At 34.3% G+C, this 27,352-nt stretch overlaps 2 protein-coding genes across 9 annotated transcripts in view; one reads left to right on the top strand and one right to left on the bottom strand.

Annotated features, from left to right (window-relative positions):
• Nucleotides 1-26,104, top strand: part of LRRTM3 (leucine rich repeat transmembrane neuronal 3) — a 175,516-nt gene extending 149,412 nt beyond the window's left edge. For both annotated transcript variants that reach the window (NR_111909.1, NM_178011.5), the window contains exon 3: nucleotides 22,140-26,104. Coding sequence is in view for 1 of the 2 variants with exons in the window: in NM_178011.5 (NP_821079.3) it covers nucleotides 22,140-22,349 (210 nt within the window). In the remaining variant the exon portion in view is untranslated. The remainder of the gene's footprint in view (nucleotides 1-22,139) is intronic.
• The window catches only part of CTNNA3 (catenin alpha 3), a 1,851,072-nt gene that overhangs the window by 1,162,925 nt on the left and 660,795 nt on the right, over nucleotides 1-27,352 (bottom strand). The window lies entirely within an intron of this gene.

Genomic DNA, 27,352 nt, shown 5'->3' on the forward strand with positions numbered 1-27,352 from the left:
CAAGTAGGACACCTGCCACTATTAAGATGGAAAAGAGATAAGAAAGGTGAAGTTGGAAATACTTAAGATTCTCCAACGTCACGAGACTACATACTTGCAGTTCTGCCAATGTTTAACATTTTCTCAAAGTAAGATATAGACAAAGTGCTCCAGTCTAGGAAATCAGATGGGCCCAACCTACCACTAGGAGGAAAAGGAAGCTATGACATTCTGAAGTTTGGCACCTCGTAAGTGCCCACTACTATTAATTGCATTGAATATGAACTGAACTGTGGGTTCACTAAAAGCATGCTTCTGGAGTTAGGAGGCCTTGGCAAATGAGGCTAAAAATTAACTCACACATTCAAAGCCATCTATTTTTAAAATGCATGATAAGCAACACAGGAAGCTTTTATAACTAGCCAGCAAAATCTGAGCTTTCAATCAACAATTTCTTTCAACGAAGGTGTGGAGCATGGAAAGAATCCAGAAGCACAGATGGTATTTTACATCTGCACATGCAATTTCCTTTTTCTCCATTTTTATATAAACCTCTCTCTTTTTTTAAGAATGATAGAATTTACCAGTAAAATGCAGAACTACTTAATTGCCTCTAGAAATGTTCACACCTCCATTTCACATTTTTAGCAGCAATTTAACTGCCTTTAAGTATATGTAGAAAGATGGGAGGGTGGACCTTTTAAGCTCCCCTGTATTACAAAGTGAATAATTTCAGAAGATTCAATTCCTCCAGAGAGCTACAATTTTTCCAGCACTTAAAATAACTGCACTCCACCATCCTTATCTCTAACTATTTTCCTAGGATTAATGCTAACTTTTCACTGGATCTTAAGGCTAAAATGAACTTCAGAGATCATGTTACTTCAGTCCTCTCCTCAAAATATGAGTAATCATGATCCAGTAGGGCTGGCAGCTTGTTCAAGGTCACTTTGCTGCATAGCACAGGGGAAAGGAGCAAAGTCCACCTGCATCATAATCCACAATCACAGAGACAAATGTAGGAAGACCAATACATAGCTGTGTCTCCAAGAATCTATTTCCAGGACTCCATCAGAATGCCAAGCCCTTCTTCTTATAAAGTAAGTCAGATTCATTTGAGCACATAGAGAAGCCTGACTTTTAAAATCTAAAAGCGTTTCTTTAAAAATTGAATACAAATAACAGGTTTCACTGTCATATTACATTCAAACCAAAGATAAATAAGGCATGAAAATAATATTGGATAGAATGAAATTCCAGGTAACCAAACATGGTACAGGGGACTGAATTTGTACATTTAGGTAACGGGGAAAATAAAAATACTACAACATAAACTAAGAGAAACTTTCAAAAGCAATGTTCAACTTACCTTTAGAAAAATGCTCTACTGAAATAAAATCAATTGACATATCCTCTGTTTTTCATACTAATTCCTCTGGCCCAAACCTCTCTCTTGAGCTCTAGAATTGAACAAAGTACCTCCATGACATCTCCATTGGACTATGTCAAAATCTCCTCGTCTTTATCACGTCTAACACCACACTCACCGCCAAAGCAACTTGCATTGTCTCTTGTTTCAGGCAACGCCCCCAACATGAAGATATTTGTGCATCCAGAAATCTAAACATTCCTCTGAGACCTCCTAATCCCTTCAGCAAATCCTGACCCTCTACCTCAATCACTCCTGAAACCTGCTAAATTTCCTCCATCTCTGTGGCCACTCCCTGCATCCACACTGCCATCTTGCTTCTCTCATGGATCTTCCAGTAGCCTTTGAACAGCTTTGCACATGTTCGCTCTGGACCTTTGTTGTCCCTCCTCTCCAGAATGAACTTTTGTCAATGCAAACCAGTTCTTATCACTCTCGTGCTTAAATCCTTCATTGGCTTCCACTGGCTTTATGATAAAGTCTAAATCCTTCAAAATCCCTAAAAATTTATAAAATGGTCCACAAGGAACTAGTGGCCCTGATGGCTTTTTGAGTCCCACCTGACCCAGTCCCTTTGCCCCACTCCCCCATCCTGCCATATCCCTGTAGTCTCCAGTCCAACCATTCTGGACCCTCTGTCCCCTGCCTGCCTCTCATCCTTTGCACAATGTTACCTTGGCTTGAAGCATGCTTCCTCCCACTTTCTACTTGATTCATTCATCTCAACTCTTGTGAAACTTTCTTAGGAAAATCTTCTATGATGCAACTCCCTGAAAGACTGGTTCCCTGTATTTTTCCTCTGTAACCAACATCAAAATTTGTAATCTTATATTTGTATAACTATTGTTTAATGTGTATCCCCTTATGATAATATCTATTTCTATTTATTCGCTCATCTCACTAGCACCTAAGACAGTAGGTGGCATATTATACATACTCAATGATCATTTATTAAATGAATGAATTAATAAAGAGAGAAAATTACTAATAAGAGACAAAATTAATAAAGAAAAGATAGAAATCTTTTTATCTAGATTTCTAGATTAACAGAGGAGGAAGGGAAGGGGACAGAGAGAGAATATAAGTGATTTACAACACAAATCTCACCAACAGCTTAGAAAGTTCAATTTTATGTGTAACTATCTGTTACTTTGGATAATTCTGAGCTAGTAGGATACATCCTAACTAGACCACAGACCAGGGTCATACTTGGACCAAGTCAATCCCAGTTACCCAAACTTCAGTCAGCTTAACAGCTCTCTCTCAGGAGTAATAACCTCTAACAAAGGTATTCTGAAAGTCTCCAAATAAAAGAACACCACTTTTAGGTTCTTTGCTTGATCTCAGTAAACATCCTCAAATGGGCATGAAGAGTGATCTTCCCCCAATTCAAGTTCTGGAAAGACTTAATGTGTACTTCCAAGACTGTACCACTATAGTGCCTACTAACTGGCCAAGGTACAGTGTCAAAAGCCCTAAAGCACAATTGCTCTAAAGTTTATGTGTGTGAATATTTGTTCTGTAAGGAAATGAGAAAGAAAATGATCAGAAAGAAAAATATTTGAGAGAGGGACCAACAAAATGTTACTCCCCTTAAATTATTTAGGAAAACAAAGTCAAGGCAATTATTATGATTTATAAATTTTTTTCTGATACCTTTTTTATTATTATTATTATTTGAGAAGGAGTCTCGCTCTGTCGCCCAGGCTGGAGTGCAGTGGTGCAATCTCGGCTCACTGCAACCTCCGCCCCCTGGGTTCAAGCAATTCTCCTGCCTCAGCCTCCCAAGTAGCTGGGATTACAGGCACCCACCACCACACCTGGCTAATTCTTTGTATTTTTAGTAGACATGGGGTTTCACCATGTTAGCCAGGATGGTCTCAATCTCCTGACCTTGTGATCTGCCCACCTCGGCCCCCCAACGTGCTGAGATTACAGATGTGAGCCACCGCACCCGGCCCTCTGATGTCTTCTTAACATCACAATTCTCAAACTTCAGAGCAAGGTTAGCAGGACACTTGTAATTTTGACAATGCAAAAGCAGAGAGAGACAGAATATGCCAATGCAATGCAGTAGACCACTTCATTTGATTATGTGACTTAGAACACTGGCATAATTTGGCTCCCATTAAGAGTTTTCTGAAGTTTGGATACAATTTCTAAGACACTCTTAATCCACTTCAACTAGAATGTACACTATGAATTTCAAGCCACCAATAATTCATAATATCTGGGAGGACCAGGAATAATCCATATTTATAAGTTTCAGAGACAAGATTTGCATTCCCCTTTTGGTTTCTCTGATGTTCTGCTGGCTGTATTTTTTGTGTGGGGATGTATGCAAGGTTAACTTATGAGCACACGCTGTGCACAAGAAACTCTGTGTTATAGAACAAGGGGAAGAGTCCTAGGAATTTAAGAAACTATCATAAATACAGACATCATGGCCATGTAAGCCATGGCTTGGCTTGCTGCCAGTTCTCTGCCACAGTTGCAGAAGGAACACAGCGATAGGGCAGTTCCTAGATATAATATCTAACAGATGAGCAATCTACATAAAACATTTATTTCTAAGTTTAGAAAACCCCAATAAAGCCAATAAATTCGCAAATATCTCCCGAGGATCAGAGGAAACAATAGAAAAGGCAAAGTATTACAATTAAGCATCTGTGTTATAATTAGGAAGATAAAACATAACAATAAGATAGTCACAGCCCAGCGCGGTGGCTCATGCCTGTAATCCCAGCATGTTGGGAGGCCAAGGTGGGCAGATCACAAGGTCAGGAGTTCAAGACCAGCCTGGCCAATATAGTGAAACCCCATCTCTACTAAAAATGCAAAAACTAGCCAGGCGTGGTGGCGGGCACCTGTAATCCCAGCTGCTCAGGAGGCTGAGGCAGGAGAATCTCTTGAACCCGGGAGGCGGATGTTGCAGTGAGCTGAGATTGCACCACTGAACTCCAGCCTGGGTGGCACAGCGAGACTCCATCTCAAAAAAACAAAACACACACACACACACACACACACACACACACACACACACACACACACACAAAGATAGTCACTAACACACAGCAGCATGTAAGAAGTGTCAAGAGAGGAGTAAAATAAAAAATTGCTGTAGTTAGAGGAGGGTGGTTGTACAAGGTTTTGGTTTTGTTTTGTTTTCTCCAAAGTCTTCCTACAGCATGCAGAATTTAACCTGCCTCTTGCTGGGATCCAAAGAGGCAGGGAGGGCATGGCAAGAAGAACCAGAAGGGGTGACAGCCCCAAGTGCTTGTATTTCGTTAAAAAATTCCCTCTTCTCAAGAAAGAAAATTATTCCTTTTACGTGAGCTACTGGATTGTTTTGCAGGCTAGAGCCATTTTCTGCTGGATTGGGTTTTGAAATGGTATTTTTCCATTTATTTTACAGTATCTTATGGGGGTGGAAAGAGAAGTATCAGCAGGTTAATTTCTACCTTTCACAGAGAATCTGCTGTTTACAATGTAAGACAAAACTACCGAAGTATGGGACACAATTAGGGAAGTCAGGAACACATTTAAATAAACTGATGTTAATGAAAAAACTGAATTCTGCATATAATTCCCACTTAGAATGTTAGGTCCCAGCATCGCAATACATCTACTGACATGAGATTTTTTTTTCTCCTCAGAGAGGAAATTTATGTTTTATTATTTATCATTCCTATGCTTAAGCTTGCTTATTGGATTTATTCAATAGGCATCATCTTCATCATCTTATAGATGTGCATAGAAAAGGTGAAGTAACGGCCGGGCATGGTGGCTCACGCCTGTAATCCCAGCACTTTGGGAGGCTGAGGCGGGCGGATCACGAGGTCAGGAGATCGAGACCATCCTGGCTAACACAGTGAAACCCCATCTCTACTAAAAATACAAAAAATTAGCCCGGCGTGGTGGCGGGCGCCTGTGGTCCCAGCTACTCGGGAGGCTGAGGCAGGAGAATGGCGTGAACCCGGGAGGCAGAGCTTGCAGTGAGCCCAGATCTGGCCACTGCACTCCAGCCTGGGCGAGAGAGCGAGACTCTGTCTGAAAAAAAACAAAAAAACAAAAAAACAACAAAAAAAAAAAAACAAAGAAGAGGTGAAGTAACTTACCTAAAGCTAAACAATAAATCAGCATCCTATATTAGAATCCTCAGTCCCTTATATTTACCCTAGTTGGATATTTGGCACTTAAACTATGATGCTTTCCAGTAATAAGCCAACAATTTTAATAATGTCTAAATGTTTCTCTCTCCTTCAGTTCTGACAGACAGAGCTTATACATTTTTGAGCACATCAATTTGATTGCATCTCAAATACAGATTAATGTGGAAACAGTAATAATTATTGGAGAAATGACTGTTGGCAGGGCATTTAAAATGCTTAATTCTCTAAGCTCATTTCAGGTATATACTGAACAGTGATATGAGAGTGACAAGCAGTGAAATATGTAGAAAAAGAAAGGACATGAGGAGTTTTTCAATCAATCAGTAGTAATACAATCATCTCTTTCACTTATTGAGAACTTACTATTTCAGGAAACACAAATATATTTTCTCTAGCACTAACAACAAAACTGTAAGATGCAGATTATTATATCCATTTAACAGTGCCAATATTGTGGCTCAGAGAGGTTAATTAACTTGCCCAAGGTCACCAATCTAATAAATGATATAAATTGACCCATTGTTTCCAACCCTATTGATAGTATCTGACTTCAGGCTCTCATCATCTCTCGCCTACCATTTTGCTATGCCTGTATTCTCATATGTATACCTGTCACTGTTGCTCCATATACATTCTTTGCTCCTGCCATTTTGAGTAGTTCTAGTCTCCTGGACCAGCTATGCTGTCTCATGCCTCTGCACTTCTGCCTAGAACAGTCTTCCTACTTTTCTCTGAATGAGTTCCTTGTCTTCCTTCAAGACTCAGCTCAAGAGTCTCCCCTCTGAGGTCTTTCCTGATCCTAGCCCAGCAGAGGTGATCATGCCCTCCTCTGGAGCCAGTATATAGCCCTGTTTATTCACTAGTTTACTCACTAGTTATGTTTATATGCATGGATCCCTATTAAAGACTTAGAGCTCCTTGAAAACAGTATTCATGTTTTATCTTTGAATTACCAGCACATAACACAGTTCCTGAAACTTAATGTTCACAAAATAGGAGTACCTAGGCTACCTTTGTTAGAAGTTTAAGCTGGACCCAAAGTTGATTGCAGATTGCAGTCAGCATTCTCAAGAACCAATTTTCTTTCAATGCTATAGAGAGGATTTTTTAAAATTAAAAAACAGAGAATTTTTATATTACATTTTAATTAAAAATTGGATCTGCTACTCCTTCATTTGCTGTTCATTTCCCCTGTTACATTTATTAATTATCAAATATATTAGTTGGTTTTAACCGCTGCTTGCTCCCTTGTAGTCCATCTGTGCTTTCTTCTCAATAATGCATTGAAGTCATAAGTGCTAGATTTATTGCCTTGGTGATTTTCATGGCACAAATTGCGATTTCGCTAGCACTGAGCAGAAGGAAGAGCTAATAGGCAAGGCAGAAAATGCCTAATCAATATCACTCCTGGCATAAGTTTAAAACCCTAAACCCCCAAGCAGATTTTGCAAAGGGCTATACTTAAGGCCATAATCTCTAGAAATGCATTTACTATAGTAAGAAGTTGAGAATCACTTTCTTTCCTACCAAATTCTCAATTACTTCACAAGCCTCCTAGGAAAGCACTAAGGTCTTTGAATAACTCAGCTGGCCCGCAGGAGAAAAAAGGAAACCGTGCAGGAATTAGATAGGAATATGTTATTTCCAAGAAGGGCCCTTTCTCCTAAAGATACATCCTTTTTTCTAAAGATAAAATAAAGTACTTCTACATCAGCATAGAGAAGAGGATTTCTGAATATGAGTGTTAAAAGACATCCTAAGGATTAGATATCAGTCATGAAACTGATTGGAGGCATGTTCTAAACTGGGTAGTCTGGGGGATGGACCACAATATTATGAGTCAAGCAACTAACCAGATTTTGTTGACTAGAAGCCACCCACCTCCTATATTAACTACATCAATGAAATTAAGTGCTCATGAGGCATTAACTGGATTGCTGAACCAGACAGGCATTTCTGCTATAGTCATGAGTTCTACCAGAAGCCACCTGTGTGTTCTCACAAAAAAGCAGGTGTTCACCTAAGGGTCAGGAGAGGCAAGTGTGATCAGGGGACCAGTGAGCATCCTGGTATAAAGACCTTCATTACTCAGCCTTTTAAACTTTGAATCCCTTTAAATATCCATAGGTCTACCTAATTTGAGAAAAAAAAAAACTTCCTTTATTCGAAACCACATTGCTAATGTCCTCAAGTAAAAAGAAAGTGTCTAAAGTGCAGGCTTAGCACCATAACACAAATATAAGCCAAATAGCTGCCTTTTCATTTAATACACTATGAAGACCAAGCAATCAATATAATGATTAGGAAACAGTTCCAATCAGTTATTCAATGTTCTTTCTTGGGGCTACCATCTAGGAAATTTGTCTCAGTGCAAAAAAAAAAAGTATAGTCCTATCTTCCTGGCCACCCCCACTAAAGCAGAATAACCTGATCCCACTGTGTTATGTTTCGTTGTCTACCTCAACACATTTCAACAATGTGCTAATTTTAACTACATTTGAGTTATATGTGAATTGTTTTTATTTTTTAGAATTTGTACATTTTAATTTTCCTTGAGAAGAAGCTAAGAATTATTCAGATACTAGACAGTGATAGCAGTTTCACAATAAGAACTTGTGCATGTATTAAGCAACCATGTGGCTTTCCCTCTACCCTATCAATAATACATATATGTCTCAGTTTCATGTCCCTTAATAAATAATTAAGAAATCACTAAAATAAACAGCCAAGGCATTCAAAATACATTAGTTCTCCCCATAGACATTGGGATGGTTCCCATTACATACTTTTTAAGAGTCTGATTTACTTGCAAAAGCTACACATATTTTATTAAAATGTAAGTAATCAAAGCAAAATTTAAAAGCACATGAAAAGAATAAAAATAAAGATAAGAAAAATCTAATCAGTTCTCTATTAGGAAGGGAGAGGGACACAGTCAATTCAGCTAGAAATATAATGGTTTCCAAGGTCAATGCCAGTTCAAGGAAGAGGTTCGTTGCTTTGCAACACTTTTCAGGGAGAAGGTAGGATCAGGAGCTCCAGTGTTTCCTTATAAACAAGCACAAAATATGATATATTAAAACACCTATATTTATAACTAATCTCAAATTCACTTATCACTTTTAACTTGGTATTCATATATTCAGAATAATAATAGAAGCTCAGAGATTTAAGCAATCTATCCTCATATGTATTGTTCCTTGAGTTATCCTCAAATGGTTGGCAAAAATCTACACCTGGAGTGAGAATTCCACAAATACTTACAGAGAAGGAAAAATAATAGGAAGAAAATACCAAAGATGCTCCTGTTGGGCAACAGTCACTAACCATGACCAAGTTAAAAATTTTTATATTATCTAATTGACTATCACAACATCATGAATACATTTTAAAGCTAAATCTGAAGTGGAGAACCAAATATTAAAATATATATTAATTTAAATATTGTTTATAATTCTACTCTAAATTTCATTCACAGCAGAACACCCTCAGCCATGAGAAAAAATCATTTTCACCCTTTAGATTAGAAAATTTCCTGATCCTACATTAGATTTCCTTAACCATATATTTTTACAAGATTCATGATCAGTCCTGCCTTTCCAATCTTACTACTTGGGTAACAGATACTTTGATAACTTTTATAATGGACACTTAAATAACAGAGTAAATAGAATGAGAAATAATAAATTATTGCTATTACTCATAAAAGCATAAGATTAAGCTTTTTCATAGAGAAGGCTGTATCGCATAAAAAATCTGCCTAGACTACGTTTATAAATTAAGGTTCATCCTTTCCTTCATTGCTGATTTTATATCATTCAGGTTATAGATTAGCAGTATAAATGATAGGATCTAATAATAAGAAAACCAGTTTAAAATAATTACATGAAACTCCTTCATATTATGTTATATTTGTGCCTTGTATGTTATAAATATCAAGACATGTCAAAGGAGTTAAAACATATTCTCTAAGTAGGGTATCCTAATGATACTGAAGATCTTAACCTTGAGCTTCAAATTTGCTGTCCAAATATGGTCTGAATTATTTTTAATTTTTAATTGCATTCAATATCTACTTTGAACTGTGAGTGAAAAGCAAATAATTACATTGTTAATGAGACAAGATACACTATCAAGAATAACACCTCACATTTTTTATGTAGTTTATTTTTTAACTTGTTTTGATCAAAGCCATAGTTGAAAGAAAATTGTCTACATATATATGTGGCTGATCACATAATAGTAATCAAAAATATGACTAGTCTTCTTGTTTATTATTTATAAGAAACAAAAGAAATACTACATCCTATGAAATAAAGTAAGAAAAAATGAACCCTAATTTGTAAATGCTAGATGCAACTGTGAAAAAAAAAATGAGAGGGACTAAAAGTAAAAAACATAGGTAAGACACTGAGAAGAGCTATTCACCACATCACCCTCCAATATTACCTCCAATCAGTCAACGTTAGTCACCCTCATATAATCTATGTGTGCTCATAAAATTTAGAAGTTGATCTTTATTAAAATATCAACAAGAAGTATTTTATTGCATAAGAGCTGTATTGTCAGACTTACTTTTAAAGTTTATGTTTGTGTCATATAAAAATTTGAAATAATGAGTTAGTTTACCTTTACATATTAGCTCATCCCTTATTATGATATTTTCATTACAAATGTAAATACATAGACTTGGTTATAATCTATTCAGTTCCCTGCCAATCTTTCCACTCTCAAGAATTTTCAAACTTTTACTAATACGCAAGCCTGCACAAACCCTGAGAAGTCTTTATTCTCTATTGAATTTACAATCTAGAGAGATAGATTATGTTAATATCAATGAAATAACAGCAATATATAAATAAGACCAACCTGGCCAGCTTAAACATGACGTTATCTATATAAAGCCTCATAGCAACAGCAGAAGATCTTTCCCTCCACTCTCATCATATCCTACACATAATTCCACCCTAGGAACATGGTGTTTAAAATGGCTTGCTTGTAAAATCAGGGAATTGGTTTCATTCACCCAAGATCTCTAGGATATTCAATAATGATGGATGGATATGATATGGACAGATGAATGAGTGGATAGATGGATAGATAAATGGATGAAGGGGTGGAAGAAACAGTATATTTTTTTTCATACTTATGTGGATATAAATATAAATTTTGAAGAAATTCATAGCAATACCTCATCCCTATAAAATGAAACTCATCTGAAGGATTTTCTTTAAAAAATGTTACTTGAACTAAAACAGGTGCAAGATTTTTATGCAACCTGGCAGATGCATACAGAATATCACTTCATTTAGTTGGGACAGAATATCACTTCATTTAGTTGGGAGATAATCTCAACCAAAGTCTCAATTAATTTAGTAATGAAGTTGAAGAGAAATTCAATGCTTATCAGTAAGTAATCATATCATTTGAAAGCCTGTTTGGATGTCAGCTGCTTGGGTTCAGCAAATCCTGAAATGCTCCTCTGCAATATCCAAGTCCTGCCAAAGCAGGACAAACTATTTTTAGATGAGGCATGTCAAAAACGTAGTCTGTTTTATAAAGAATGTGAAGACTACATCAATATAGTAAGGAAGAAAATGCCAGTTGGAAAGCAAGTGGGCTATTAGAAGTCATGAGACACACACACAAACATAAATGCCAATGTTCAGGGAAATCATATATAGAGCCTCTCTGTGAGACCAAAATACCCTATCAGTCATAGATATGGAGAGTTCTTTCCACCAGTTGCTTCTATAACAATTCCAAACACTAGTATCTGTTATGTTTGTTTGCTTTATAATTTTTAATATAATGTAATTTTCATTCTGCCATACTTATATAAACCTAGACCAAAAACATTAACTGATGTAGTGTTATTATAAGACCCTCCAGTGGACTGTTGTGACTACAATTTCCAAGGGGATTAAAAAAAGGAAAAGAAGAATGAGATGTTTTCATACTGATTAGCAACTGCACCTCATTGCACCACAGTATGAAGAAACGGATTTGGAAACACAGCACCAAGATTAGAGAGGCTTTTGAGCCATAGTTTCAATTTAGGTCTCATCACTTTACCTGGCAATAGTACCAATTTAGCAGGCACTGGGCTGTGCAGAAAGATTTACATGTAAATGAACACACTTTGGGGCATTTTGCTTTGCCTCAGTTAAAGAGAAACATCACTTTTCATTGGCACTACAAAAATAAAACAGAGGTTAACACAGAAGGGTCCAGGGAAGAGTCCATTAGTGGAAAAGCTAATTTGGCAGCTGCATCAAACTCCTGGAGATCATGAGCAGTGCTTCTAGGAAGCACTAAAGAATTTGAAAAACACAGATATTGTGGAAGTTATTAGATGATAAAGTGTACACATAACATTTTGCAATTTATAGGGGGAAAATCACCAAATTAAGGGATGATTATCTTATTTTTAATATTCTTTTAAAAAGTTTTATACATTTAGATACACAATTCATACCTTCTCTAATATAAATATATTAAAATAAGTTTAAAATAAAATAAAGTTTTAAATAAAAATAATAAAGGATTTTTAAATAGTTAAAATCAAATAAAAAATAAAGTGGATCTCAAACATCATAATGCAGTGCCATGTGCCTCATCATTAGTGTGGATTTCTGCTCACTCATTTTAGCCCTCTACCTCTAAGCTAATGTCATAATGGCCTGGATCCTTACATAATTCGATTTTAATAGATTATCTCAGTCATATAGTTCCTATAAAGCCCAGTCACCGGGGGATGGAGGTTTGTGATTTCTTCTCAGACTATATTAACTAACCCTTACTCTTTTCTTTCATTCATTCAAGTATTCATTCATTCAATAAATACACATATAGTGCTTAATAAGTATAAGGAATCATGTGAGACAATATAAGGCATGGAGAAATATGATTAGTCATAGATTCTTGTGCTCAAAAAGGTTATGGTCTAATATGAGATAAAAGATCTGTGCAAATAAAGACATAATCTAAAAACAGACATATAATAATATCATGTGGAAATACCATGATAATTTAAAGAGAAAGAAAGCAAGAACAAGAGTGAGAGAGTAAGTGAGTGAGTGAATGAGTGAAAAATTGAGAGATGCCAAATGGGGAGATAAGAAATGCTTTTCCTACATGGAATCCTCTGTCTTCTGCTTGCTAGGCATGTATTGGAATGGCTTATGTTCCATCCAGAACCCTTCAGGACAAGAACTTGGCATATGGCCCAGAGAAGGCATTCAGCAAACCTTCACTGAAGGAATGAGTGAATAAATTAACGAATGAATATTTCTCTTTGGTTTTGTAGACATTAGCATGTGAATTTATAAAAACAATGCATATAGCCAATCCATATTTATTTTTTCTTGCAAAACTGAAACAAAATGCTTCATAAAACACAAAATATATTCAAAAGTGGCCACATCATTTAAATAGTTAAGATTTTTTATTGCAAAGATAAACGGTGCCTGCATTACATAAGACTCTCCCTGTTACTTAGATGGACTAGGGGCATTACTGAAAGACAAATTTGCAAGACACCCATAAAGCTACCAAAATTCAGAATGTTTTTTCCTTACTCTAAATGCATTTTGATGCAAGGAGAACTGTGACCTTTCAAATAGAACTCTTAAGTTTTTTTCACTTTATATTTTAACTTTGCAGGATTTCACTATAATGAAGTTTTTGCACAAATACCACTAAAAGAATTATTATTATGTTCCTGCAAAAAATATTTTGTCTCTCATTATTCTCGTTACAGACACTTGAAAATCTGCAAATTTATATTGAGTTCCTGCCTTATTATCCTATACTGTCAGCCCTCCATATCCATAGGTTCTACATCCATAAACTCAACTAACTGCAAATTGAAAATATACAAGAGAAAAACAAACAATAAAAAATAACAATACAATTAAAATTAATACGAATAGAACAATACAGTATAATGACTACTTAGATAGAATATACATTGTATTAGGTATTATGAGTAATCTACAGGTGATTTTAAATATATGGGAGGATGTGTGTGGATTAAATGTAAGTACTACACACCATTTTATATAAGGGACTTACATAAACCTAAGGGACCCCCCATAGGTTTTGCTATCGGGAGTCCTAGAGCCAATCCCCCATGGATACTGAGGGAGGACTGTACTTGTGACCTCAGAATAGTAACTGTTACTTTAGTTGGCAATTTAGCTCTTAAGAAAATATAAAAATTAAGTACCAGGGCCTGGATTACATTTAAGAATTATAAAGGTTATTTTCAAATGTTAGGTGTTTAAATTTAAAGATAGACAACATAAATTCAGGCTCTTAATTATGTGCTTCTTGAAAGTGCTTTCTTAAAAAATAATTTACTAGTAGAATCAAGATAATTAAAATTAATGATCCAACAGCCTGTTGTACTCACACCAATTAACCATTGGAATGCTAAAGAGTTCTAGGAGATAGATTGCTCTTCGAACAAATAAATCAGTTTCAAAGTAAAGTATATTATCTCTGTGGGGGAGTCTATAAAGTAAATATTGAATCACTTCTCAGCAATATGGACTCTTGCCAATAAATCTCAAAAACAACATTATTTTCAAAGAAAAAAGATGGCTACCTCATTTGGCACACATAAAGGATGAATGATATAGTTAGTCGAATCAGCCAATCAGAGTATACATATGTGTATATACATATGTGTGTGTGTGTGTGTGTGTGTGTGTGTGTGTGTGGACAGAAACACATATACTGTATTTGTCTCCTAGGCCCCCCATCCATTGCCTTCCTTTACTATCTTGCACCATTTGTCCATCCCTTTCACAAGCCTATAATTTTGCCAGAGAGCAGAAATTGTGTCTTCATCATGTTTGTTCTCCATTTCCCAGTCCTGTACTTCTGCAGCACCTGCCTAGCTATGTTTTACATAAAGAAAAAATTCAAGACAAGTATAGTCTCATATGAAACAAAATAATCAAACTACAGATTAATTCAAGTTTCTTTTTGCACATTTTGTTAAAAAGAAAAGCTAACATATTTTAACTGGAAAATATCTGCCAATTTCTAAGTCAACACAGGGATCTAACTTTAAAAACCCCAAAGGTCTTCCTGAACATTTTTACACATATATGTATCCAGGAGTATACTTAAGGTTCCTGTCCCCATCTTGAGTGTTTTCGAGATTGGACTCTTCTTTCTATGCCTTGTATTGGTCAATATGTGTGTAGTAAGAAGCAGAGAACTCTGATTTTGAGCTGTCACTATCTTACCCACATCTTAAATCCATCATAAACTACGTTTCTTTCCTGAAGACCCAATGTGCAAAGAAGCATCATAAAACTACAGTATAAACATAGGAAATCTTAATGTTCACACTAATGGAAATAAGAGCTAAATGTTGAGAATTAGTGTTACAGAGAATCAGATGCCTATATTGTGTTCACCTCTCTAGGTTCTAAGGCCAGTAAGAATTAGATAGAGTGATAGATAAGCAACAAAATGTAGTGGTTAAGAAGGCAGGCAACCACTTAGGCAACTCACTAGACGAGTGATTTTATACAAATTATTTAAACTATCTAAGTCTTCCTTTTCTCAACTGTTAGTCTTAGAAGGCTTAAAATAGGCAACCTCTGTCCAGCATGTAGTATAGTACCTGTGCTACATAGTAAATGCTTAATGAATGAAAATAATGAAGAGAATATTAGAGACGTGTCCAGGCCACGCATCAACTGACAGACGCAACAAATGCCCACAGCTTCTTCAGGTGGCTAGGCAGAGTAACAGCTGCAGAAATCCTAAAGAAACTAAGGTAGAACCTGCGGTAACATCTAGGCCGTCCCTGACACTTTGCCAGGGACCCAAGCTGCAGTGTGATAATTGCTTACACTATTTATCTCATATAGCACTTATATTTTATCAACTGCCTTAACACTTAGAAACCAAAATAGTGATTAGTGACAAAATTTTCAAGCTGGGAGTCAAGCCGGTAGAAAGGTATTTTCAATCAAGAGTTTCTTAATATTACTCAAATAATACCAAAGGGACAGCTTTCTATTTTGACTCTAAGTAAAACTACCAGCCTGTATATAAAGGTCAAGCTTCATAGGACAAAATAAACGTTGCTAGCCAATCTCCAAACACACATCAAATTGCGCATACCTTAGCAAAACCCAAAGCTAGTTATGAAAATCAGCTTATATAAATGAAACAGATAGTAGAGGCATCAAAATGAAAAAGAATAAAGTCATCATCAAGTGTATTTTTTAGAAATTAAAACATTTCTTTAAGTAAATTGAGAATTTAAAGACAGTGTGATACATACACAAACATACATGCATAAATATATACATGTATATATTTAAGGAATATATGTAAATAATATATTTAAGGATGCCAATTTCCCAGAATAAAGTATACTTTAAATCCCACTTCTTTCCAAAGACAAAGAATAATGCTTCAGACATGACCACCCCCCAAAAAAAGGAAAACAAAAGAAGAAAGTATTTACTATTTTCTACATATTGCTTACATTTAAATTAAAAATATAGCTAATTTCCTCCAGGATAAATTTATAAATGCCCAGTTTTATTGGCAATTCTACAGATTAGGGAGACCAGTCATAGTCACTAAGGTGAAAAAGGTAATGATACTTTGAGCCGAGATAGTGGTAACAGAGATGAGAGATGTGTGTGCCTGTCATTGATGTCAAGAAAGTAACTGGCAAATCATGGGACATTTGGAACAAGAGACAGGGAGTCAAAGTAGATGGGCAACAAGTAGATTAAGCTGACTTAATCTAATAAGTATTCCCTAGAACAAAATAGGGACCAAGGAAGAGGAACCAGTTTGTATTCAGAGATAATGAGCTCAGTTTGAAACAAATTTAAAGACAAATTAGAGAAATATCATTAACTAGAAGAAGACTGAAATGCCTATTTCTTATTTTATATGTTAGTAGGTAGAAATAAACTCAACTGAAAACCCCTTAAGTTTAGTAGATGAAAAATAAAAGTAAGAAAATACGCCTCTGAATTTCAAGATAAAATGCAGAAAAACATTTCGATAGTGACAAGGACTACATCTAAAAAACTGAATTTCTTCATTAAGAAGTCTGTTTCTTTCACTGTATGCAGATGATCAAAAATGATATTTACAAAAACCCTAAACTATCATCTTTTCAACAACCTAGAGAGTTAGAAAACTTACTAGATAACATTCAGCCTTACAAAAATGGGAAGATTTCCCCTGTGATATATGAGGAGAGCATGAGAATTCTCTCAATGAGTAGAGATATTTATACATACTAAAATCTCTATTCAGACATAACACTTACCAAGCAAACTAGAGAGAGAATTCTAGAGAAGGAAAACATGGCCTTTTTGTTATTCCTTCACAAAAGAAGACTGTCATTTTCTGTTCTTCAGAGTATTTTGTACTTTAAAAATAACCTTTTCTATCCAACAGAAGAGATTCTTGAGTGACCTTAACCAAATTATGAGAAATTCATATGAATGTTCATATATATACAAAGATATTTGTACAAATATACCTAGATATTACTTATATAGTTAATATGTGGTAAAAATTATTATTTTTACTTAATCACAACTTAGAAACTTTAAAAAACTATTCTTATCCTTTATAATCACAAACTCAAATATTACATATGAATGGGAAAAAGACCATTAGTAATTAGTTATTTTTAACCATCTAACTTTGTACTTTTTATGTGAAAGGTACATAGCATTGATGTTGATACGAGACAGTGATATGAGACTTGGCACATCACTGGAAAATTACTGCTAGGGCAAATATCATTGATGTCAAGACACTACTAGTGTAGCAGAATCGAAATTATTCCTAAGGGAATTTCCTAAATAATGGGTCAGCTACTACTACTCATTATTACAATAGCATATAACGATTTTCTTAGCTAAGAGTATACATGATAATGCTTTCTAGAGAGTAAGTTTTTATACCCCTGAATCTCCACAATTCATAGCCTTAAGAAGAATTACCTTTCTTGGAAAACGGTGATTTAGAGGATTAAAAGAAACCAGAAGTAATGATAAACAGGAGTTTAGCAGGGTAAATTCATGGAGAGAAACTTAATTCTCAGAAAGATATGACAAGAAGATTCTATGGACACTTTAAATAGAGCCTTCCAACAAAAGATCTGGAGAAGCAAATGCCTTATTAGATTTAAATTTCCTATTGCCCTTCCCTGAGCCTATTCCAACTAGCTAGTTCAGACACTTAGGGTAACTGTTTATTTTATGAAATAATGTATTTGGGTAACCTTCAGGTAGGTTGACTAAGTCATTTATTGTCAAAATGGGACGATAAGCATAAATTGGGACTGTACTGTTGAACACCCTAATCTCAGGAGAGACCATGTTAATAAAAATTAGGTAAAAATGGAGAAATAGAGAGAGGTTACTGTGAAAAAAAGAAAAGAATAAAAGGACCCAAAGTCACTTGATGGTTATGTGAAGAGAATGGAATTTATTGTGAGTTGGTGACAGGAAGGGATCTACAAGGTTGAGTCAAACAGATTTGTTTTTTTAATGCCAGCTGGTAGCCTCTCCATTACTACCCAGCGACCAGTCATTTTTTGGTGCAAGGACATACCCTCCCAACAAAACTGAAACTCCCCCCCAACAAAAGATTGCTGAATTCACAGTCGTTGCCCAAACCTCTGCATCAGGTATTTACCCTGGTGTGAAAAATACCATATGCAGATTTTAATTTCTTATCATTTTAGATTTAGTTTATTTGAAACATAAATAGGTTTCATCCTAGTCACACTCCTTTTTCAAATTATGGCACTAACACAAATTGTCATTTGCCATATTCTCAAACAACTGACTATAATTTGAAAGGGACGGATAATCTCTTCATGGAAGAACCAAAGAATACCTCTTAAGGCAATACCGTGATGTCAGGCAGCAGGTAGTGCACTGCTACTTGAGCAGAAAATGTGTTGCACACTCAGCATCTGACTTCCTACTCGAATTAACTTATGTAAAAATCTAATACCCTAAGCTGAGAAAGTAATCAACATATGATGTTGATATAGAGAAGAAAAGATATTACAAACAATATATGTAATATTTTTCATGAGGAAGACTTGCTCTGACAAAGAATAATTTTCTCATTATAAATAATTAGAAGCAAAAATATCCCTCCCTTACAAATTTAGATAATAGAGACTATTTTTATTTTTATTACATTTAAGAATCATTGGGTTCCTAAATGGATATCCTACATGGATATTCTAACGAAATAAGTATTTCCAGATAGCATAGCCTTTTAATGTCATCTCATTAAACAGTGAACTAGGTCTTTTAAATTGAAGTAAAATTTATTTTCATTCTACATATTTTAAAATACATGATAGCAATTGTATTTAATGTAAACATCTAGTAAATTATTATTTATAGTAATTGGGGGAACAGTGTATAATTAAAAAGAAAATTACTGGCCATATTCTATACCTAAATCACTTGGTCCTTCCACTGATATTTAGGTTCTTCATATTGTCAAGCATGGTGCCTCATATATCACACAGTTTCAATAATTTTTATCCATCTGATTAGCCACAAAAGAATAAACATACCTTGTACTACATCTGTATACAATACTTATAAATTAAAAATTGAGGAAGAAATGACTTAAATTTAACCAAATATTTTATATATTAAAAAATTATCTTACTTGACATTCCAATAAAATTGTCAGTGCAAAATATTCATAATTCAACAAAGACTTACCTGAACACAATTTGAAAAATTTATGAGTAAATGTACACACATGTGCATACATATACCATATCATGTATATATCCATAGGTATGTATACTATATTTACATGAATCTTATATAGATGTCATGAGTATGTAAAAGTGGTCCAAAACTGATGTATCACCAAAATTTGCATTTTCCATACCTGATTTAAATGATTTTGAAACTATAAGTAATTGGCTTTAAGTTTATACATATATGTGTATATACATATATGTTTATATATTATATATGTATCTGTATGTGTGTACCCCTATATATACACATGGGTATATATCCAATGCTAACTCTCTTAAATTTTCAAAATCATTTAGGTCAACCTGGGAAAAATCTACTGTGATGCTGTATTCAGATATGGCTAGCTGTTACATTCTACTTACTGATACATCTTACTATGTTATTTTATTGTTAATAAGATAGAATCAACTTTAAAATGCACTCTCAATTACATGGAAATGATATATGTTAAACATTCACGTTGCTTATAAGTTCCATCCTAATTTCAGAAATAATAAAATGTGAAAAAATGTGGATTTATATTTAAACAGTATAATCATGGCATAAAGTATTTCAAAATAAGACATATCCAACAGTAAGAAACTCACTAAAGAAAATAATATGTGGGATTTTTAAAACAGATCATCAGAGCTAACTATTTAATTGATAATGGTTCAAATTAGGACTTGCACTCTGCATACCAGTCAGTAGCCTTGATACATTAAATCAAGCAGGAAATTGTGTGTGCACACACACACACAGAATAAATGTATCATGGTTTATTATTTTTCATAAATCATCACCATAGAAATTACAAATTATTCACAGTAGAGTTAATTCTAAGTAAGCCAGAAATGATTCTGCATATATGAGGCATAAGTTTCCATGACGAATAAGGACAAGTATATAAAATCCTACAGATATATGACCCATAACACATTACAGAGCACTGATTTCCCAGAGGATAATGTAAAACTCGTGTACCCAGTAACAGTTCTATTTTTGTTCTCTTCTATAACTCAAATCTATTCATGCTGCACATTTACTTTTACATAAAAATGTATTTTAGTTATCTGGGCTATTTCATCTGTGACAACAAGATTCTTATTTATTTTAAATGGAAGTATCCTATTTTATTCTTAAGCATTTTCTTTACGATCTTTCAGTCGCCTTGACCATTTTTTAAAGTATGTGATATCTTTCATTCACGCATCAGATAACTTCATGTTTTAAATCTTAAAAATCCACATAAATAGGAAGAGTTACTCTGGAATTTTCATTTAATAAGCTGGATTACATTTCTCTAAGAACTAAGCTATATATATTTTATATGCCGAAATATTCATATTATAAGCAAATAATCTTAAAAGAAGTGATTAGTTTTATTTTTTATTTTTTTGATTACTTTTATTAAAGAGATAAAAGGTAATATTTGCTCCAGGAATTTTCACTGAAGTAGAAATACATGTAAGTAGAACTGTAGGGATGGAAACAGAAGTGGCAAAGACGGTTCTAATGCATGGAGAGAAGGGGAAAGAATGTAAAGATGCAGTTAATAAAAAAATAATACCTAGGCCTTCTATTTTTCTTAGCTTTGGACTCTAATCTCAGCTAAGATCAGAAAGGAAGTTAGTCTGATGTGCTCAAACAAATATACATTCTATCTGTTCACCAAACAAGAATGGCAGAAGCTTTTATCCTCCAGAGAATTCAACAGCATGAATTAGTAATTAGGATATTAAACCAAGATCAGGACTGAAGGTTCCTGAAATCTGCCTACTTTTTAGGACAAGTTTTTATCTTATTGAAAAAGAAATGGGAACTATCTCTAGACTTTGATATCTGATTATATTTCAGGCTCCCCTTTGTCTGTAACTGTGTTTCCCTTCTCACCATGGTCATGCTTGCTTTTTCCCTCACTTTTAGAACTTGCTTTCTTTAGTTGGCAAGGGAGTCCCTTCCTCATGTATACTACTGGTTCCTTCAAACTAGCATCATCCTTTGATGCTTTTTGGACTTTCATAGGAACCATAGATTTTTCCTGGGAATTCTCTATGCTCATCTAAATTTTAGATATATGGACCAAACTACAGACATTAATATTTTAAGGAATCTTCATGATAAAATAAATATTAAGAAGTCATGGGTAAGAATAGCCAGAATGGCTTGTCTAGATAATTCTCTTCTGCAATGGTTATCGAAGTGTGGTGTGTGGATTAATAGTCCAGCATCATATAGGAACTTGTAAGACATGTGGATTCCAGGACCTATACCAGACCTACTGGATGAAAAACTTGGGTGGCAGGGGGTTGACTAGTTAAAGAAGTGGGTGGTGATTTTTGTGAATGCTAAAGTTTGAGAATCACTCTTGTTCTATTGTATCCTAACCAAATAATAGGATAATTAACACTAATAATAATAATAATAGTGTTTATCAGTTCTAAAAACACAATTATTTTCCCAGTTAGCGAAAGCAATTTTCTGACTGTTCCAATAAATCTTTTATCATTTTCAGAACCATGTAGGCTACTACTTATCCAAATCTTCTAGTAAAGAATTAAGCAGTTTCATCCCAGGATTTAAAACTGTTGCACTGATCTCACCATATAGGAATAGGGGGCATTAGCGGGATAATATAGGGACACCTGGGCCACAGGGCCACAGATATAACCATGGAGGTTAGTCAGGTCAGCACTTCAGTCTCTAAATCTTTCCCCTAAAGTTGTCCATATTTTTATAACTGACTTTTCTCATGTCATTTTTCCCCAGATACCTTTATCAATGAATGTGTCAACCTTTCTGGCATACGACCAGCCCACAATAAGTTACTGTGGGGTGCATCATGAACTTCTCTCCCATAAGTCCTTTGAAACGAATGCACAGGAAGATACGATGGAAACACACCTAGAGACTGAGCTGGACCTGAGCACAATCACAACAGCTGGCCGAATCAGTGACCATAAACAGCAGCTAGCTTAACTGAGATCATTGGTAGCCAGGGGTTGCTACCAAACTTTGTAACCTCAAGGACAAAATGAGGAAGATGTGTTCATTGTGGACTCTAAAAACAAAACAAAACACAAAATCCCCTGTTCAAATAAACAAAAAATCCAAGATTGATTCATGAAATAAAGAAGACATGAATTGTTTTAAGTCTACACTTTGTAATTAGCTAAGTTGTGCAGTATTTTTTGACTTAAACAGAGTATGACCCTGAAAAATAAAAGAATCTTTTTTTTTCAAAACTCATCCTACCTACCTGTAAAAACTGTACAAAGCTAATGTATTTTTCATATTGTAAAGTTTCAATTGTAGAAACAACTGGTATGTACAGTACCATAATTTAATTACATTTTACTTTAAAAACTTTACACATTTCAGTTTCTAAAATTTTAAATTAACAAAAATTATTTCTTGTGTTATTCAGAGTTACTCAGTTTTGTAAGGACTGTTTTGTTACTGCTTTTGTGCCCAGAAACCTTGACTCTAAAATTCTGTGCTGTGCGAAACATGCACGATTTTTATTATGCTTACTGCGTAGAATTTTATCTACTTGTTCCAGAAATAATACATTAACCAAAAAGGATTTAATTGTTCAGACTTGTAAGAGGTTCTTCAATTACATAGGCAGGTTTTTCTTAAAAATGAAAAAAAAATCAAAGATTTTTTTAACAGTTCTCAGACTTAACTGTTGCCTTGAATTACAGCCTAGTTTCTAAGCAGTGAAATGTAATGATAAAGAGGGATATTTTAACATATTTCCGAATGAATGACTCATTATTTCATTCTTTTGAGTAACCATTGTTAAGGGTTGGGGGAAAGCATGGACAAAACATCACTGGAAACAAAGGCTGTAACCACAGCAACAGACTTTGTGATACAGTTAAAAGGTGCAGCTGCCAGTGACAAATAAAAACTTTTGTTACATCTCATTATTTTCAGGCCAAGGTGGGAGTATAGTGCATAATAATTGTACAGTAGCAATTTTTATCCTAATTAACCCATAGCGGTTTACCTAAAAGTAACCATCAGTCAGTGCAAAATGTGCCTGGTTCTTAAGACAACTTTTTATTTAGAACTGTGAGACCGGTATTTTGGAAACATTTCAAAGGAAACATATGAATTTGTTTTGCGTTGTGCACTACATCATTTCTCTCCTGAGGAAGAATTTTAAACATGTACAGCTCATTCAATATAGATATGAGCCATGGTGGAGAACTTTATCACTCAAGTAGACGGTAAACATCCTTAATATGTTCTAAATTGTTTATATTGCTATCCATAATGGGATTCACCTCCAAATTATCAAAGAAATAACTCAGAGTAATTTGACACCAGCCCAGATCATATATTGATTATACAATTGTATTATAAAGTTCATTCAAATCAAATTAAGAAAACCTGAGTCTTTAGAAGCTGAAATAATCAACTTGTTTGTGCTGTTTGCTTGACATAGGTTATTGTTTGAAAATATTGTTACTTTATCAATAGTAATCATGCATTCTTGTGTTTTTTTTTAATGGAAAACTGCAAGTTTCAATTACTGTTGCACTAGAAGTGCTTTTTATGTTGTCATTTTATATTCATGCCATCAAAAGTAGATTGACAATACATCAATCTAACAGGGGCCAATCAAAACAATGAAGAAAAGAATAACTGAAAACAATGTCAAACTTTTAAATTTTTATCTCTTCCAAAGAAGTTATATCTATAAAATCTAGTTTTATGCAGGTTTGTCACAGCAAATGTAAAAGCGGATTCAAGAAGAATGAACTTAAAAACTGTGGAGCAAATTTTTGTTGAAAATATATAAAGTCAGAAAGAAAAAAGATGTAAATGTTGGAAGAAGCAAATTCTATTACTAATTCAAATGAAACTAAATGTCAAACACAGTACTTGTGTCAACTATTTAGCATCCCAGATTTTGTAACATATTTTGCATAAATTATTTGCTCTTCAAAAATTTTTGTCATTTTAAATCTAATTTTAATCTTTATGTTTTCCATTTTCTAATTTCCTTGCAATGTATTATTCTTATTCTTAATTCTCTACATTGAAATTTGGCTTTACGTCGTTAGCAAATTTATAAAGGGTTATAAAGCTATGATTCGTGAGTCTAAAATCAAATGCAAAATTTTATTTATTATGTAAACCAAAATGTCATTTGCAAGTTTTCTCATTAGAAGTTATCCTTGCAAAGATAGAAAAAGAAGAATTAATTTGTGTAAACAAGCACAAATTAACATATTTGTTAATAAATAGGTTTATCTACTAATAAACCTATTTCTAGACACATTCAAATTGATAATGATTTTTAGAAATGTTAAGGTTCCAAGGAGTCTTACAAGTGTATGCCCTTGATTTCCTGAAGGAAACCACTTTCTTTCTTAAATATTTTAAATTCATCTAAAGTGAACGACTATAAATAGAAGCAATCACCTTGGAACCACAGCTCTGTGCAACCAAGGCCCTAAGCTACACCAAATACGCCAGGAATTTTGAGACTTCTCATCTTTAAATTCAACCAAAAGGGTCTTTAGCAAGAAAAAAAATGCTGGATGATGATTATTATTATTTTTGCTTAATTTTTATTTTGCCATGTCCAGGTTAAGGGTGAGGGTGGTGACAATCTGAAAGACTGTGTCTGGAATCTTTATCACATATTTCCAATTTATTTCAGTTTTTGTCTAAAACTTGCATTTCTAACCTATCTTTTCCAGCATTTGATAATCTCCCATTTCCTCCTTCTAACCCCCATTCCTATGTCTCCCTTCCTGTCTATTCCTCACCGATTTAAACAACTGAAATGTTTACTTATGTTTGGAGCTGAAAAATGGAAAGTTTCACCCAGCATGGTTACAATAACAGCCAGCAGCTGCAGCAAACCATAAAGTTATGCAGTGTTTTGAAGTTCACAAACCACATTTTACATAAATTATCTCATTTTGTCTTCATAACAACCCTATGAAGACACATTAATCTCAAAGAAATTGAGCTCTTACCCCAAAACACAGGGCCAATAATTGGTGCAGTTGAATTATTCTCAAAATTTACAGGCTGTTAGTCTTTCCACTGTACTAAAAGATTTCTTTCTCTGATCAGAGCAAGAGAACTTCCAGAGATAATGGATAGAATGAAAGAATATATATCTATATATATTTGACATGTTGTTTAGTAATCCCTATTTTAATTCAATTCTCCATCTGTAAAATATTAGCTAACTGAATTATTTCTGTGTTCTACTCTGGGCTCTCACATTAAAACTCTGTTCAAAAAGTTTAACAAGTCACATATTTCTTAACATACAAGTTCGTTTGTGAATGTGCAGAACAGATGCTCCCAAGATGTGGATGCATGTAGGCCCCGAGGTACAGACATAAAATCAAGGAAGCACAAGGAAAGAAACCCCAAGGAAAAAACCAAAGACCTTCTAAATTGAGACTGCATAATTATAAAAGAGATCCATAGTACAGGGTTGAACACATGTTCAACACTTTGTCAACTGAACACATGTTCAATTCGGAGCTAATTGGGAAGACTTACATAAAATTCTTTTTCTTTTTTTCTTTTGGCAAGATTTCTTCTTAAACCATGAAATTTTTTTTACTTGTAATAATAGAGAACAATTTTCTCCATTTTCTTATAAGAAAAATAAAATATAATTTATCCAAATTGATGTATAGAACCTAAAACATATGCTAACTTGCAAATAATATATTTTACTGATCAACTCATTTTTGTCAAGTCTCTATTTCTAGTCCCTCCTGAATGTTTTGGAAAACCACAAAACTATACAGATTAATACAAATTACATTTTTACAAGGAAAGAAAACATTCCCAAATTTAACACTCAAGACTAATCACATAATCCTATTTTGAACTCAGATCTCTCTGACTCCATTGACTGCTTAGAAATAGTAAAATCTTTTTGAAAAAAAAATTTTCTAAAATAAAACTATTGTATATGAGAGTAAAAATATATTTGTTTTTGATTGTTCCTGACTAGAAGACAGATATCATCTCTCAAACTAAACACTCAAAATAAGAAATTGAATTCATGAAAACCAATACCTGATGTGAATTGTTGTTATTCAACTGTATAAAAGAAATGCAGATGTTCTGGGTATGTCAGAGCATGCGAAAGAAGAAGTTATGGGACTGGCAGGTATTTGGCCTCAGGAGAAAAGGTGAAAATTTTCCAGAATAGATATAATAACATCTTATATTGGCACAGCTCTTAACAGTTTATAATGCTGGGTAATATAACAATCTCCTAATTCATCAAAAAGTCTCAAGGTGCAGATGAATTGGTCTTGCAATAAGAAAGAGCTTCCAACTCCTCCCATGACCTTCCCAATTTTCCCCAACTGTCTCTAAATAGGGAGGCGCCAAGTACAAAGGACCCAGGAGCAATGCTTTCAAAATTCTGATTTACCCCAAAGGTAGGGTACCTGGACAATCAACAATTGGGCTTCATTTTATCATCAACATTAATGGGAAAGAAATGTTTAAAAATTTAAAACCAAGCAAACACACACACGCACATCAAAGTGGTGATGAGTCTTTTTTGAAGGTCTCTCATGACTTGCATTATAGTTTTATTGTGAGATAGGAGGCAACTTATATTTAATTTATTTAGGGTAAATTTCACATTTTAAAAAGTCCACCATTGACTTTTTTATTCTATGAAGGACAGTGATCTTACAGCAGCAGAGTGCCTCAACCATCTAGGACTTAGGCTACTAAGTTTCTTCCTCCTAGCTCTCATTTATAAATTTTGTGTTATATGATATTTGTCTTCCTGAAAAGGTGAGTGAAAATTTATTTTGTGTAAATCAAATAATATTTCAAATGTATCAAGAGACCTTGTGATAAAGGAACCTTGAAATTGCTTTTTAATCTAAAATATTACCTGCTAATTTATCTTTTTTAAATTGATTTCCATATATCTTGTGTTATTATAACACAGCACACTTGTACTA

This window comes from Homo sapiens, chromosome 10 (genome assembly GCF_000001405.40).
Source record: "Homo sapiens chromosome 10, GRCh38.p14 Primary Assembly".
In the NCBI taxonomy this organism is placed as follows: domain Eukaryota; kingdom Metazoa; phylum Chordata; class Mammalia; order Primates; family Hominidae; genus Homo; species Homo sapiens.